Source organism: Homo sapiens, chromosome 17 (genome assembly GCF_000001405.40).
Source record: "Homo sapiens chromosome 17, GRCh38.p14 Primary Assembly".
NCBI classification, from domain to species: Eukaryota; Metazoa; Chordata; class Mammalia; order Primates; family Hominidae; genus Homo; species Homo sapiens.
The window spans coordinates 41,045,380-41,061,378 of NC_000017.11; the positions used below are offsets into that span (position 1 = coordinate 41,045,380).

General features: G+C 40.0%; 3 protein-coding genes across 3 annotated transcripts, besides 2 other annotated features; all 3 read right to left on the reverse strand.

The window, feature by feature from the left end:
- KRTAP2-1 (keratin associated protein 2-1) lies at positions 1,162–1,937 on the reverse strand. The gene has a single exon (NM_001123387.1). The coding sequence runs from the start codon at positions 1,886–1,888 to the stop codon at positions 1,502–1,504; it is 387 nt and encodes a 128-aa protein (NP_001116859.1). The 5' UTR covers positions 1,889–1,937; the 3' UTR covers positions 1,162–1,501.
- Positions 1,938–9,118: 7,181 nt separating this feature from the next.
- KRTAP2-2 (keratin associated protein 2-2) lies at positions 9,119–9,851 on the reverse strand. The gene has a single exon (NM_033032.3). The coding sequence runs from the start codon at positions 9,830–9,832 to the stop codon at positions 9,461–9,463; it is 372 nt and encodes a 123-aa protein (NP_149021.2). The 5' UTR covers positions 9,833–9,851; the 3' UTR covers positions 9,119–9,460.
- KRTAP2-3 (keratin associated protein 2-3) lies at positions 13,861–14,735 on the reverse strand. The gene has a single exon (NM_001165252.2). It carries the CDS (start codon positions 14,669–14,671, stop codon positions 14,285–14,287), a length of 387 nt encoding a protein of 128 aa, NP_001158724.1. The 5' UTR covers positions 14,672–14,735; the 3' UTR covers positions 13,861–14,284.
- Positions 13,905–14,479: an enhancer, noted in NCBI's record as "H3K27ac-H3K4me1 hESC enhancer chr17:39215536-39216110 (GRCh37/hg19 assembly coordinates)". NCBI's record gives its function as "activates a minimal SCP1, AML or CMV promoter by ChIP-STARR-seq in primed H9 embryonic stem cells {active_cell/tissue: H9 hESC(primed)}" and the evidence as "EXISTENCE:reporter gene assay evidence [ECO:0000049][PMID:30033119]".
- Positions 14,480–15,054: an enhancer, noted in NCBI's record as "H3K27ac-H3K4me1 hESC enhancer chr17:39216111-39216685 (GRCh37/hg19 assembly coordinates)". NCBI's record gives its function as "activates a minimal SCP1, AML or CMV promoter by ChIP-STARR-seq in primed H9 embryonic stem cells {active_cell/tissue: H9 hESC(primed)}" and the evidence as "EXISTENCE:reporter gene assay evidence [ECO:0000049][PMID:30033119]".

The window sequence follows — 15,999 nt, forward strand, 5'->3', positions numbered from 1 at the left end:
TGAGTAGATTGCAAAAATTTGGGAGAAAATATTTTCAAACTATGCATCTGACCAGGGGTTAATATCTAGAATATATAAGGAACTTGAACAACTCAACAGTGAATAATAATAAAAAATCCAATTAAAAATAGGTAAAAGACCTGAATAGATATTTCACAAAAGAAAACATACAAATTTCCAACACATATATGAAGAAGTGCTCAGCATCACTAATCATCAGGAAATGCAAATCAAAACCGCAATGAGATACCATATCACCACAATTAGAATGGCTATTATCAAAAATACAAAAAGATAACAAATGCTGGTGTGGATGTGGAAAAAAGGGAACTCATACAAGGTTAGAGGGAATGTAAAGTAGTATAGCCATTATGGAAAACAGTATGGAGGGTTCCCCAAAAATTAAAAATAGGACGATCATGTGATCCAGGAATCCCACTACTGAGTATATACGCAAAGGAAATGAAATCAGTATGTTGAGGAGATTTCTGCACTTCCATGTTTATTGCAGCACGATTCACAACAGCCAACATATGAAAACAATCTAAGTGTTCATCAATGGATGAATGGATAAAGAAAATGTGACACACACTCACACCCAAACACACAATGAAATACTATCAGCCATGAAAAAGAATGAAATACTGTCATGTGCAGCAACATGGATGAACCTGGGGGACATTATGTTAAGTGAAATTAACCAGGCACAGAAAGACAAATAGCACATTCACTCACTCCTATGTGAAATCTAAAGAAGTTGATCTCATAGAAGTAGAGAGTAGAATAGTGACTACCAGAGGCTGGGGAGGGTGAGAGGAGGGGAGGATAGGCAGAGATTGGTCTACAGGTACAAAGTTACAGGTAGATAGGAGGGATAAGTTTTGGTATTCTAATGTACAGTAGGGTGACTGTGGTTAGTAATATTTTATCATATATTTCAAAATAGCGATCAGAGAATATTTTAAATGATCTTACCATGAAGAAATGATAAATGTATGAGGTGACGAATATGCTAAACACCCTGACTTGATTATTACACAACGTATACATGTATGGAAACATTACATTGCACCCCATAAATATGTACAATTATGTGTCAGTTTTTTTAATTAAAAAATTAATTTAATACAAAATATTAGAATGAGTAAATAAAACCAAATCTTTTTGCAAGGCCAAAGAACAGATATTTATTAGAAAATAAACATGCCACGAAATCTTAAGAAGAAGGAAATTGCTTCTTTTACAGACTTCAGAATGGCCCAGGTCTTAATAGATGAGCCCAGTGCTCGGTTCCCTGCTTGGTTGATGTGGGGTTTTGTGGGCTCAGGGCAGGAGGTTTGTTAAAGTAGAGAAATGGGAGTGTGACTTTTTCAGAAGGTGAGTTACGCGTTCCGGGCAGTCAGTGCACTGCTCAGCAGGAGGAGGTCCTGCAGGTGGTGCTGCAAGGGGTCGGCTGGCCGCAGGGGGACTGCACAGACACAGGCTGGCAGCAGGTGGTGGCTCAGCAGGAGGAGGTCCTGCAGGTGGTGCTGCAAGGGGTCGGCTGGCCGCAGGGGGGCCGGCAGCAGGGGGACTGCACAGACACAGGCTGGCAGCAGGTGGTGGCCCAGCAGCAGGGCCTGCACACCACAGCCGTGCACGACGAGGGGCAGCAGGTGATGGGGCGGCAGCAGCCTTCCTGCAGGGAGCAGGGGTCGCAGCACACCGGGCGGCGGCAGGGCTCGCAGATGGGGCGCGTGCAGCGGGGCACGCAGGTCACGGGGCGGCACACGGTGGTCTGGCAGGTCACGGGGCGGCAGCAGCAGGGGTCGCGGCAGCAGCAGGGCTGGCAGCAGCCTCCCCCGTAGCTCAGGGAGGAGAAGGTGGAGCCGCAGCAGGAGCCGGTCATGGTGGTGTCTGAGGCTGGTGTGGGTTGGGCTGTGGAGAGGAGCTGGATGTTCTCAGGTGTGAATGTCCTCCTCCCCCTCTGGGCCCTTTATATACCCTGGCCGGGTGCAGGTGACCCTTTTCGTTTACCTTTTGGCCAATTAAGTAGAATTTTGTTTTGACTAATGGTTGCTTGTGACACACTCATTATCTCACTAAAGAGCTCTTGTTTTATCTCTAAGTATGGATGTACTCACATTGGGTGAAAATCTAAGAACTCATCGTCATTTGAGGTGATAGTAGCTCTTGATGCTTATTTTGAGTAGATAACACTGGATCAAATCTGGACAAAACGGTCTAAAAAAACTTCAGTTTTTAAAAGAAATTAAAAACATAGAGAAGTACATAGAACATTGAGTAGAGCCTATCCTGACCCCAATAGGGGACTCAAGTCCTTGGAAGCACCTACATGTGAAACGTGAATCACACGAGTGTTAGACAAGCCCTCCCACGTAGTCTGCTTGGGAATACGTTTGATTATCACTTGATATAGTGGGATACATAGGCCTTGAATAGGATAGCAGCTCATAGAGTTGTACAGGACAGACAAAAATTTTTGCAAACCACTAAGTGTTGGAATAAAACCTCCAAGACTGCCTTGCATGTTTTCTTTTCTCTAGTTCAGGTTCTGTGCAACTCTGGTCTTTCTGTCATAAGATGCTGATTTTTATCTCTGAAACATGTCATTTTTTAGCGTTGCCTTTCTTGTGCATGTAATGAAGAATTCTGTAATGGGAAATTTTTCTGAATATACCTTGTTGGCCGGGCGCAGTGGCTCATGCCTGTAATCCCAACACCTGGGGAGGCCAAGGCAGGTGGATCACCTGAGCTCAGGAGTTCAAGACCACCCTGGGCAACATGGTGAAACCTCAACTCTAATAAAATACAAAAAATTAGCTGGGTGTGGTGGCAGTGCCTGTAGTCCCAGCTGTGCCGGAGGCTGGGGAACGAGAATCACTTGAGCCCCAAAGGCGGAGGTTGCAGTGAGCCGAGATCATGCCATTGCACTCCAGCTTGGGCTACAGAGTGAGACTCCATCTCAAAAAAGAAATATGCATATATACTTTGACATAGGTGCTCTGATTAGCAAGTGACAAGAAAGGGGTTTTCAACCAACATTGCACACATATCCAGAACACTGTTCAGGGGTAGACGCATTGGGAGGCTGCCCAGTGTTCTGCTGTGGCACTGCTAAAAGCGTGATGGATGCGCTTCTTCAGGAAGTGTTGCCAGGGGCAGTTCAGGAACTACATGGGGGAAACAGTCCCATTACTTTCCAGCTTTACTCCTCCTGTTAGTCACCAGACAGGGTTTTGAATCACTTCGGGATCATTTTCTTTATTTGAAAGAATGTGCCTTGGGGCCGGACATCTAAAGCTCCCCAAATGGAATTTCAAGCATAATTTCAAAACTTTAAGAGGAATGTAAATTGACTGGACCCGGTAGTCACAATTAGGGAAACAGAAGAGGGAGATATCAGGCACAATCTCATCGCTAGAGACCTTTGACTCTCCTGTTTTACATTCTTTTCTTTGTTTACGGACGTGGGATTTTTGTTTTTCAAAGTGGTAACCAGAGGTAACTAGGTAAAAAGTTGTATATTCTGCTCTTTTCGAGACATATTATCTCATAATTTATTTTCATGCTGCTGTGGAGTCTTCATGATAATCACATTTTATGCAATGGGAGCCTCTTTGGAAGACTTAAATCATCACATTAACAAGACTCATTTCTCTACTGCAGAAACTTCAAACCCAAGGTCATTCTAAAGAGATCTGTCTCTCCCCTTTATAAAGATCTGTCTCTCCCCTTTATAAGGATCTGTCTCCCCTTTATAAAGGTCCAAAAAGATAATCTGTGCATCACTCAGTAACCTTTCTAGTGTTTATTCACTCTAAGACACTTATCCACACCCCATAGCCAAACTTCGTTTTCAGGCAGAGAAAATATGGGTCATGCTTCAGTTATTCATGCCTCAGAGTTGTAAGAGCACAGACAGCTCTGCGGTTTGACACTTGGTGGCAAGTCACATCCTATTTTCTGACCCCACTTATTCTGAAACTGGACAATGCTCATTTAAAGCTCTGCCACTTACTGGCTGTGTGTCCTTGGGCCATAATAATAGTTCATATCAGAATTGTAAGGATTACATGAGCTAATATTTGTCAAGTGCTAAGAACAAACAATGTCTGGCACTTAGTGTCTTGTATTTGTTAAATATATATATATATAGTAAATATATATATACACACATATATACACATATATAGTAACATGACCTTTTACTATATATATAGTAAAATATATATAGTATATATGTATATATACATATGTATTACATATATAGTAAAATATGTATAGTATATATGTATACAGTATATATGTATGTATACTATATATGTATATGGTGTTGCGGGAAGTCAGGAACCCCAAACGGAGGGACTGACTGAAGCCATGACAGAAGAACGTGGATTGTGAAGATTTTATGGACATTTATTAGTTCCTCAAATTAATACTTTTGTAATTTCTTATGCCTGTCTTTACTGAAATCTCTAAACATAAATTGTAAAGATTTCATGGACACTTATCACTTCCCCAATCAATACCCTTGTGATTTCCTATGCCTGTCTTTACTTTAATCTCTTAATCCTGTCAGTTGAGGAGGATGTATATCATTCCAGGACCCTGTAATAATTGCATTAACTACAAAAATTGTACAGCATGTCTGTTTGAGCAATATGAAATGTGGGCACCCTGAAAAAAGAACAGAATAACAGCAATTGTTCAGGGAATAAGAGAGATAATCTTAAACTCTGACCGCTGGTGAGCCGGGCAGAACAGAGCCATATTTCTCTTCTTTCAAAAGCAAATGGGAGAAACATCGCTGAATTCTTTTTCTCAGCGTGGAACGTCCCTGAGAAAGAGAATGCGCACCTAGGGGTAGGTCTCTGAACTGGCCCCCCCGGGGTGTACCTGTCTCTTATGGTCGAGATTGCAGAGGTGAAATAAACTCCAGTCTCCCATAGCGCTCCCAGGCTTATTAGGAAGAGGAAATTCCCACCTAATAACTTTTGGTCAGACCGGTTGATCTCAAAACCCTGTCTCCTGATAAGATGTTATCAATGACAGTGGTGCCCAAAACTTCATTAGCAATTTTAATTTCACCTCGGTCCTGTGGTCCTCTGATCTCGCCCTGCCTCCACTTGCCTTGTGATATTGCATTACCCTGTTAAGTACTTGATGTCTGTCACTCACACCTATTCGTATACTCTCTCCCCTTTTGAAACTCCCTAATAAAAACTTGCTGGTTTTTGTGGCTTGTGGGGCATCACGGATCCTACCAAAATGTGATGTCTCCCCCGGACACCCAGCTTTAAAGTTTCTCTCTTTTGTTCTCTGTCCCTTTATTTCTCAAGCCAGCCGATGCTTAGGAAAATAGAAAAGAACATACGTGATTATCGGGGCAGGTTCCCCGATAATATGGTACATATATATTACATATATAGTAAAATATATATAATATATTACATATATAGTAAAATATATATAATATATTATATATATAGTAAAATATATATAATATAATATATATAGTAAAATATATATAATATATTATATATAGTAAAATATATATAATATATTATATATATAGTAAAATATATATAACATATTATATATAGTAAAATATATATAATATATTATATATATAGTAAAATATATATAATATATTATATATAGTAAAATATATATAATATATTATATATAGTAAAATATATATAATATATTATATATAGTAAAATATATATAATATATTATATATAGTAAAATATATAATATATTATATATAGTAAAATATATATAATATATTATATATATATTAAAATATATATAATATATTATATATATAGTAAAATATATAATATATTATATATAGTAAAATATATAATATATTATATATAGTAAAATATATATAATATATTATATATAGTAAATATATAATATATTATGTATAGTAAAATATATATAATATATTATATATAGTAAATATATAATATATTATATATAGTAAAATATATATAATATATTATATATAGTAAAATATATAATATAATATATTATATATTTATATATACAGATATACTAGATATATTTTACTATATATAGTATATATGTATATATACAAATATGTATATATATTTTACTATATGTATTTTACATATACTATATATATTTACTATATGTATACCATATGTATATATAGCAAAAGGTCATGTTACATTGGTACTTTCTAAATTCTAAACTTTAAGTTTAGAAAAAAGACCAACATATTTGTTATGGCAAATGGTTAGTTCTCTGCTCAGTCACCAAACAATACACATGAAATAACATTATTCAGTAGTAAGTTCCATTAATAGCATGAAATAAAATAAAAGCACCTGGAAGGAAGAAACAGAGCACCTTCTCATTGAGCACTTACCTCTGTGAAGGGAGTCAGGCTATTGTTGAACTGACAGAAGGCATATCTGTCAGGACTGTGTATAGCAACAAGACCCCTACTGAGAACCCCACAGCCCATGCAATACAGAATGGGGTCTTAGAGAAGCATCCTTAAAAAAAAAAGCCTTCAAATTGATTTAGACAGATTTCTCATGGTGATGGACAACAGATTTTGTGTAACAAACTCCAGAGCTTTATTTCACATTATCATTTAACAATAACATTATGAACAAATTTTTTTTTCATTATTTCAACTTTTCCTTTAGATTCAGGTGGTATATTGTGTGATGTGCCAGTTTGTTATGTGGGTATACTGTGTGATGCTGAGGTTTGGGGTATGATCGATCCTGTCACCCAGGACTGAGTGTAGCACCCAACAGTTTTTCAGCCCTTGTCTCCCTCCCGCTCTGCCTGCTCTAGTAGTCCCCAGTGTCTATTGTTGCCATCATTATGTCAATGAGTACCCGATGTTTAACTCCCATTTGTCAGTGAGAAAATATGGCATTTGGTTTTCTGTTCCTGGGTTAATTTGTTTAGGATAATGGCCCCCAGCTGCATCCATGTTACTGTGAAGGACATGAGTTCATTGTTTTTTATGGGTGAGTAGTATTCCATGGTGTATGTGTACCATATTTTCTCTATCCAGTCCACCACTGATGGGAACCTAGGTCGATTCCATGTCTTTGCTATTGTGAATTGTACTGTGACAAACATGCAAGTGCATGTGTCTTTTTGGTAGAATGATTTGTTTTCTTTTGGCTACAGACCAAGTAAAGGGATTGCTGGGTCAAATGATAGTTCTACTTTAAGTTCCTGAGAAATCTCCACACTGCTTTCCATAGTAGCTGAACTAATTTACATTCCCATCAACAGCATATAAGCATTCTCTCCTCTCAACAGCCTTGTCAGCATCTGTTGTTTTTTAACTATTTTTTTCTTTATTCTGAAAGTATGGGGCTTCAGTTACTGAGCTTTTTAATAATAGCCATTTTGACTGGTGTAAGATGGTATCTCATTGTGGTTTTGATTTTGCATTTCTTTGATGAATAATGATGTGGAGCATTTTTTCACATGTGTGTTTGGCTGCTTGTATGTCTTGTTTTGAGAAGTGATTGTTCAAGTCCTTTGCCCACTTTTTAATGGGATTATTTGTTTTTGCTTGTTCAATTGTTTAAGTTCCTTATAGATTCTGGATGTTAGGCCTTTGTTGGATGCACAGTTTGTGAATATTTTCTCTCATTCTGTAGGTTGTCTATTTACTGTGTTCATAGTTTCATTTACTGTGCAGAAGCTCTTTAGTTTAATTAGGTCCCACTTGCCAATTTTTGTGTTTGTTGCAATTGCTTTTGAGGACTTAGTCATAAATTCTTTCCCAAGGTTGATGTTAAGAATTATGTTTTCTAGATTTTCTCCTAGGGTTTTTAAAGTTTGAGGTCTTACATTTAAATCTTTAATCCATCTTGAGTTAATTTTTCTATATGGTGAAAGTCAGGGTCTAGTTTCAATCATCTGCATAAAGCTAGCCAGCTATCCCAGCACCACTTATTGAATAGGGAGTCCTATCCTCATTGCTTATTTTTGTTAATGATATCAAAGATTAGATTGTTGTATGAGCATGGCTTTATTTCTGGGTTCTCTATTCTGTTCCTTTTGTCTATGCCACTTTATATTTTACAACTTTCTGTTTTTGTACCAGTACCATGCTGTTTTGTTTACTGTAGTCTTATAGCATAGTTTGAAGTCAGGTAATGTGATGCCTTCAGTTTTCTTTTTATTTACGATTGCTTTGGCTATTTGGGCTCTTTTTGGTTCCTTATGAATTTCAGAATAGTTTTTTTCTAGTTCTGTGAAAAATGACATTGGTAGCTTGATAGAAATAGCATTGAATCTGTAGATTGCTTTGGGCAGTGTGGTCATTTTAATGATACTGATTCTTCCAATCCATTGGCATGGGATGTTTTTCCATTCGTTTGTGTCACCTATCATTTCTTTAAGTCGTGTTCTGTAGTTTTCTCTGTAGAGATTTTTCACTTCCTTGGCTAGATGTATTCCTAGGAAGTGTGTATATGTGTGTGTGTGGCTATTGAAATGTAAAATAAAGTTGTAGAATGTACAACCATTTTGTGATTAACATGTCTCTCACCATACTAAGAAGTGTTTGACCTGAGGTCTAAATGCAGGAAACTTGTATTCTCCAGGGTCTTTTCTGAACTTTTGGGATTATAATTACATTAGTAAGTAACTTATTTACTCTTACATTATTCATGTTTCTTTAACTTCAAAAACAGAGGTAATTGGCCAGAGGTTGCCTAAGGCTTCTTCCACCTCTAACACCCTGGGCGTTCTATGATGTTCCAACAGGTGTCGGATCAGTAAACACACCATTAGGCTGGGAATGTAAGTTTCAACCCAGGTGCGGCCTCCTAGCGTGTTTCTTGTTGCAGAACATTTCTCAGGTGTTCAATGCATGCCTGGAATTTTGGGCACAAGTGACTCTGTACACATGATAAAGTCATAGTTGTATCCATCTTCCTGACTCAGCTGTGCTCCATAAATGCCATTTACAATGATTATAAGAAAACTACTCAGACTTAAGTTATGAGAACTGTATAAGAGGATTATTCTGCATCTTGCTTTGAGTATCTCTAGAAAAAAAGAGACAATCTCCCAGAAGAAAATATCACAAAGACCATGATTTCTATGGTAGGAGTATTGAGTTTATTAGAAAGCAGACAACATGATATAGGAGTTAGACTGGAGTCCTAGGAAAAGTATTTCTCATCTGTGGTTGGTCTGAAAAGGTGTCTTCAATGCATAGTGTGAGCTAGTATGAAGAGATGAGAAATGGGCTTCTCAAGGAAACGTGTATTGCTCTGCGGTGAAGCCCTGAGGGGCAGCGGGATGGACCTGGCCATCTTCTGAGGGGCCCTTCGTGATAACGGGCTGCTCAGCAGGAGGAGGTCCTGCAGGTGGTGCTGCAAGGGGTCGGCTGGCCGCAGGGGGACTGCACAGACACAGGCTGGCAGCAGGTGGTGGCTCAGCAGGAGGAGGTCCTGCAGGTGGTGCTGCAAGGGGTCGGCTGGCCGCAGGGGGACTGCACAGACACAGGCTGGCAGCAGGTGGTGGCCCAGCAGCAGGGCCTGCACACCACAGCCGTGCACGACGAGGGGCAGCAGGTGATGGGGCGGCAGCAGCCTTCCTGCAGGGAGCAGGGGTCGCAGCACACCGGGCGGCGGCAGGGCTCGCAGATGGGGCGCGTGCAGCGGGGCACGCAGGTCACGGGGCGGCACACGGTGGTCTGGCAGGTCACGGGGCGGCAGCAGCAGGGGTCGCGGCAGCAGCAGGGCTGGCAGCAGCCTCCCCCGTAGCTCAGGGAGGAGAAGGTGGAGCCGCAGCAGGAGCCGGTCATGGTGGTGTCTGAGGCTGGTGTGGGTTGGGCTGTGGAGAGGAGCTGGATGTTCTCAGGTGTGAATGTCCTCCTCCCCCTCTGGGCCCTTTATATACGCTGGCTGGGAGCTGATGACCCCCAGGACACAAGGTCATTTCCTTGTTTTCACTTATTCTTCCTGAAATAACACCAGCAGATTAGTAAGTTTTGTAGACATTGTTTAGATGCTCAGGTACACATAAAAGTCTATTTTCCTTATTTAGTGTAGACCCATTATATTTTGCTATTTATGGTTCAAATATGAATTTAATGACCCTAACTTCAAAGTCTCCAATTATCGTTATAATTCAATGACGCTTTTGCTAGTTGCTGTTTTGATAGCTCAAAGCAGCTGTTGTGCTCTGCATGCTCTGAGGGTTATTACTTGCTAGCAGTTGAAGTAAAGCGAGCATCTCAAGTTGTTAGTATTCTTTGCCACTGCTAAGCTTCCTGGGCAAAACAAGTTGAGGATAATACTACAGGGATAGTTTAAAAGTCAGGATTTCTCAGTAAAAGAAGAATTTTCCTGTCCCCTTTTTGGAGGTACAAGAATGCATTTTAGTAGGTTTCCATCATCCAGTGGTTTTTGTCTTAGAGATATGTTCATTGATTTCTATGGTTGTATCTTTCCAGACCAAGGTAAATTTCACTGTAATCTTCATGATAGCCAGTATCATTAAGTTGTAACTATGTTCCAAGCATCATATTAAAAAATACATGCATTAATCTAATCTTCATAACATTCTTAGGATGTGGATATTGTTTATTTCTCATTTCACACATAAGGAACCAGATAAGTGACTTACCCAAGGTCATGTACCTAGTAAGTGTTGGAGCCAATACTCATTCCAGAAATATCTGTGGGAACATTATTTATCAGCCCAAAAAGCTGAAGAACTCACTGTAGCTAAAGAATGGATTGTAGGTACCACATTCCCAGGTATTAAGGAATGTCTATTTTATTTAGGAGCTTTTACAGTGTATTTACTTTGAAAACAGTTGTTATTTATGATATGTCTAATTTTTAGAGTCGGTTGAAAGGACTCTATGTCTTACCAACAGCCTCAGGAGTGGGAAGAATTACCTTCTATTCAGCCTTCTGAAAATGTCGAAACATACCCTAAGGAGATAGTGTCATAGTTGGGCATAACTGAATGATTATGGGGTATTGTGAACAAAGCCACCAATATGGTGAGGAAGTCAAACAAGTCTATGTAGAGGAAGGTTGCAGTCTTGCGGTATAACAAAACCCTTCAGTAGTGATCCCACTTGAACGTGTTCTCGGGCCTCATCTGGCCCATACCTCAGTGTCTTCAACATCTCCCTGTGTGCTATGCTGGGGCTCATTTCTGCTTATGGAACCAATTGTCATTTTTAATTGTTTCAAACTGTCATGACTTGTAGGCAAATTATGTCACTCAATCACTTTTGAGTCTTTGCCTCTTAATTTACTTGGTTCTGACCTTTTCCTTTACAACTAAGACTGTTCTATTAGGTTGGTGCAAAAAGTAATTGTGGTTTTTGGCACTTTCAATGGCAGAAGCTACAATTATTTTTGCACCAGCCTAATAGATCTGAAGTTGAAGGTTCAAGTGTAAGCATTCTTATTGATCACACCACTTGCATGGTTTCTTATAGGCTTACCCAGATCTGCACCAGCCACTTCAGCCAACCAGAGAATGGGGTGACTGTGGGAATAAATGAGATCCAATAATAATGATAGGTTTGAGGGGAAACAAGGCATTGTCCATTTGAGAAAACACTTTTAAATAAGGAGGTCTCTAGAAGGCTAACAAGAAAAACTCTGAGAGGAGAAAAACAGATGTACTTAACGAATTTTGAAAACAGTGATCAAGAATATATAGAAAGAAATTAGACTTGTGAGCCTATCCATTGGTTAATTACCAAACCGTTAAAAAAGATAAAACTCCATTGTGCACGTACTGCAAATGTAAAGTTTTTGAATATAACAGTCTTCTTGTTGAGAAACTTTTACCATATTTCCAGAAAAAAGATCTTTCTTCATGATTGGTTTATTGTTTTATTTTAAGAATATGCATATCCAGCATGAGTTGAGAGTTGGGATGGAATGATAATGTCTTTCTCTGTTTTAACCAATCCCCTTAGAACTTACTCATTTATCATTCAACACATCATTTCTGATTATACTCAATGTGCCAAATATCGTGCAGATCAGTGGGAATCTAGTAGTGAACAAAGTTAGTCGAGATCCTGGCCCTCAATGTAAATTAGCTCAGCCATTGTGGAAAGCAGTTTGGCAATTTCTGAAAGTATTTAAAACAGAATTACCATTCAACCCAGCAATCCCATTAGTGGGTATGGACCCAGAGGGATTGAAATCATTCTACCATAAAGACATATACATGCATATGTTTATTGCAGCACTGTTCAAAGTAGCAAAGATATGGAATCAACCTAAATACCCATCAAGGGTGGACTGGATAAAGAAAATGTGGTACACATACACCATGGAATACTATACAGCCATAAAAAAGGAAATTATGTCCTTTGTAGCAATGTGGATGAAGCTGGAGGCCATTATCCTAAGCAAACTAACACAGATACAGAAAACCAAATACGGCATGTTCTCACTTATAAGTGGTAGCTAAACATTGAGTACATATGGACACAAATAAGGGAACAACAGATACTGAAGCTTACTTGAGGGCAGATGGTGGGAAGAGGGTGAGGATAAAAAAACCATCTATCTGTTACTATGCTTTTGTTTAATTAAATTAATTAATTAATTAAGTTTTGAGACAGAGTCTCACTCTGTCACCCAGGCAGGAGTGCAGTGGCGCAACCTTGTCTCACCAAAGCCTCTGCCTCCCAGGTTCAAGCGATTCTCCTGATTCAGCCTCCTGAGTAGCTTGGATTACAGGCGCATGCCACCATGCCCAGCTACTTTTTGTATTTTTAGTAGAGACAGGGTTTCACCATGTTGGCCAGGATGGTCTTGAATTCCTGGCCTCAAGTGACCTACCCATCTCAGCCTCCCAAAGTGCTGGGATTTCAGGCTTGAGCCACTGCACCTGGCCATCTGTTACTATGCTTATTACCTGGGTGATGAAATAATCTGTATACCAAAACCCTGTGACACACAATTTACCTATATAACAAACGTGCACATGTACCCCTGAACTTGAAATAAATTTAAATTAAAAAGACTAAAGACCCCTGCCCTCACAAAGCTTCCCTTGCCTCACTTCTCTCAATGGGCAGGTAGATATGCCCAGGAATACATGCTGAACAATCAAAGAAATCTCTTTTCTATCACATGCTAGGAACTAAAAAGATATTTATCAGGAAAATGATAGTGGTTAGCCTTCCTTACCAACATACAAGTATTTAACAAAATCAAAAATATATGCAGTATGGATTAATGTTATCAGCATTTCAACCGCATTGCAGTTGTTTAAATGGTTAAGATGTATGCGGAGCTCAAAACTAGGATGATTACAACCAAGGCTTCATTTCTCCCTGTCTTCTCAGCAGCAGCCACTCCACTGGAAGTAGAACTGGCCATGGTGGTGCTGACGGGAACCATGGAGAAGATGGGATAGTGGTTCCTCCAGCATAGGATGTTCAGTGGCTAGGGATTCCCAGGTCTTGTTTGACATCAATTACCGTACAGTTTCCTACATTGGTGAACAAATAGGGCTATAACTTAGCTTAGACTTCCTCCCCCTTATCATGTGTGTGAATTATTCATAAGTCAAGTTTATGTTTACAGAGACCTACTGTAGTCTCACCATTTCGTCAGCATCACCATAAAACCTGCGACTCGAAATATGAAGGTGAATCATGAGATGATCAGATTTATTTGAAATGCTATTAAAATTATAGACCTTCCACCTGAGTTGTTCCTATTCTAAAGCTCAAAAATGGCCCTTAGAAAATCTCTCCTTTCGTTCTTCTGGTTCTGCATGCTGTAATGTAAGCTAAATATGAGCTTTTGAAGAGCAATAAACAATAAATAAAAAGAAATGTTTGCTTCCCCAGAAATATAATTTTATTTTTTTTTACAGTGCAAAAATACAGCATACAAATAGTATTATCCTGGAAGAAAAAAATCTCATCTGAGAACCTTGAAACAGTAGAAAAAAGGGTGATGAGTCAGTGGGACAGAGTTCTATTCAAGAGGAGCTTTGATTTTTATTTACTCGTTTTTTTTTTCAAGCCAGGAATTCGAATGATGAAAGCTGGAATTTTTCTCAAGATTGTCAGAGAGGGCCAGGATTAGCTGCATAATTATGTGGGGAAATAGATAGGATGTTATTGTTGAATTCGTGCTTGAGGATCAGCTAGGCTGCAAAGGTGGAGTCTCTCATCTGATCCAGAAGGGGTAGAAGAGTCTGCACAAGCTTCTGTGCACCTGGGAATGTTTCGTGCGTTGAGAGGAGAGGTGGGGTCTCAGCAGGAGGAGGTCCTGCAGGTGGTGCTGCAAGGGGTCGGCTGGCCGCAGGGAGGCCGGCAGCAGGGGGACTGCACAGACACAGGCTGGCAGCAGGTGGTGGCCCAGCAGCAGGGCCTGCACACCACAGCCGTGCACGACGAGGGGCAGCAGGTGATGGGGCGGCAGCAGCCTTCCTGCAGGGAGCAGGGGTCGCAGCACACCGGGCGGCGGCAGGGCTCGCAGATGGGGCGCGTGCAGCGGGGCACGCAGGTCACGGGGCGGCACACGGTGGTCTGGCAGGTCACGGGGCGGCAGCAGCAGGGGTCGCGGCAGCAGCAGGGCTGGCAGCAGCCTCCCCCGTAGCTCAGGGAGGACAAGGTGGAGCCGCAGCAGGAGCCGGTCATGGTGGTGTCTGAGGCTGGTGTGGGTTGGGCTGTTGAGAGGAGCTGGATGTTCTCAGGTGTGAATGTCCTCGTTCCACTCTGGGCCCTTTATATATCCTAGCTGGATGCTGATGACCCCCAGGACATGAGGTCATTTCCTGGAGTTGTAGCTGCCCGTTGAAATGAGAACTCTGGATTTAACTGCTGAGGCAGCGATCCCTAAATCACTAAAGAATGCTTTGTTTTCTACCTGTCTACTTTTTCCCTAGAACGGAATACCTGGTCATGTATATCATCAGAACAATTGCTCATCTATCAGCTAGTCCTTCCAGGCCATGCCATGTGAGAAGGTGCAAGTTTGAAGAATCCAGCCACCATCACACTTTCCTCTTGTTCGCTGCCATCCGTGACTTAAGCATGGGACTGGAATGTTCATGAGTCACAGGCTGGGTTTCTGATTGGCATTGAGATCAAGCAAGAATTTCTTAAAAACCAAAATGGCTCATAAGAGCAGATGTGTATTGATTCTGCTATGGAAAGAATGGCCCAGTGTTTAATGACACAGTGCCTAACCTTGTTTATAAGAAAATCATCACCAAAGCTGCTAGACTGATTTTATTTTAGTAATCTGAGTTGGTTTATAACTCATTAACACTTATGAGACACTTATTATGTAGATGGTACTGTACTATTTGGGGGTGGAGGGGGAAAGGAAAGAAAAATAGCTTTCAAATAGTTTCCTATCACATAGTAATCATAACTTTTAGTAAGGCAAGACAAAGATAAATCAAGCAATTAAAGGGAAAGAACTTTTCTGGGAACAATAAGGTCAAACTAAATGGGGATTTCATTCATTCTGTGCCTTTCTGAATGCCCTTCCCTGATTATTGACCTAGAAATAAAATTGAAATTGGGCTATTTCTTGCTTTCTTGCTTTGACATATGCACTTTGTATTACATACTTAAAAATCTATGGACAATATCTACAAAGGAATCAATTATCTTTCTGTCACAGCTTCTTTAGTTTGTTGGCTGAGGGTTTTGTTTGTTTATGAGGTGGGAAGGTGGCATTATGAAAAAGACAAGGGGAATTAGTTTAGCTGGTGACCAATAAAATAGCTTTGTCTTTTCCAGCCATAGCAAAGATGAATAGGAATACAGAAAATAAATTTAGAGTTGGAAGGTAGATTAAAGATAACATTGTCCAAGGAATGCTGATGGTCTTCAGTGCAAATTTACCTCTGAGGTGTGTTTTGTTTTGTTTTCTCTTTTTAAAAATACACCCTTTGGTCTATCATATCCCTGATCTTTGAAGTCCTTTGAGTCTATGATCCATCATAGTCCATCAC

What these genes read in the sequence shown, in the direction of transcription:
- KRTAP2-1 (NM_001123387.1), bottom strand. Translation starts at nt 1,888, where the DNA reads ATGACCGGCTCCTGCTGCGGCTCCACCTTCTCCTCCCTGAGCTACGGG.
- KRTAP2-2 (NM_033032.3), bottom strand. Translation starts at nt 9,832, where the DNA reads ATGACCGGCTCCTGCTGCGGCTCCACCTTCTCCTCCCTGAGCTACGGG.
- KRTAP2-3 (NM_001165252.2), bottom strand. Translation starts at nt 14,671, where the DNA reads ATGACCGGCTCCTGCTGCGGCTCCACCTTGTCCTCCCTGAGCTACGGG.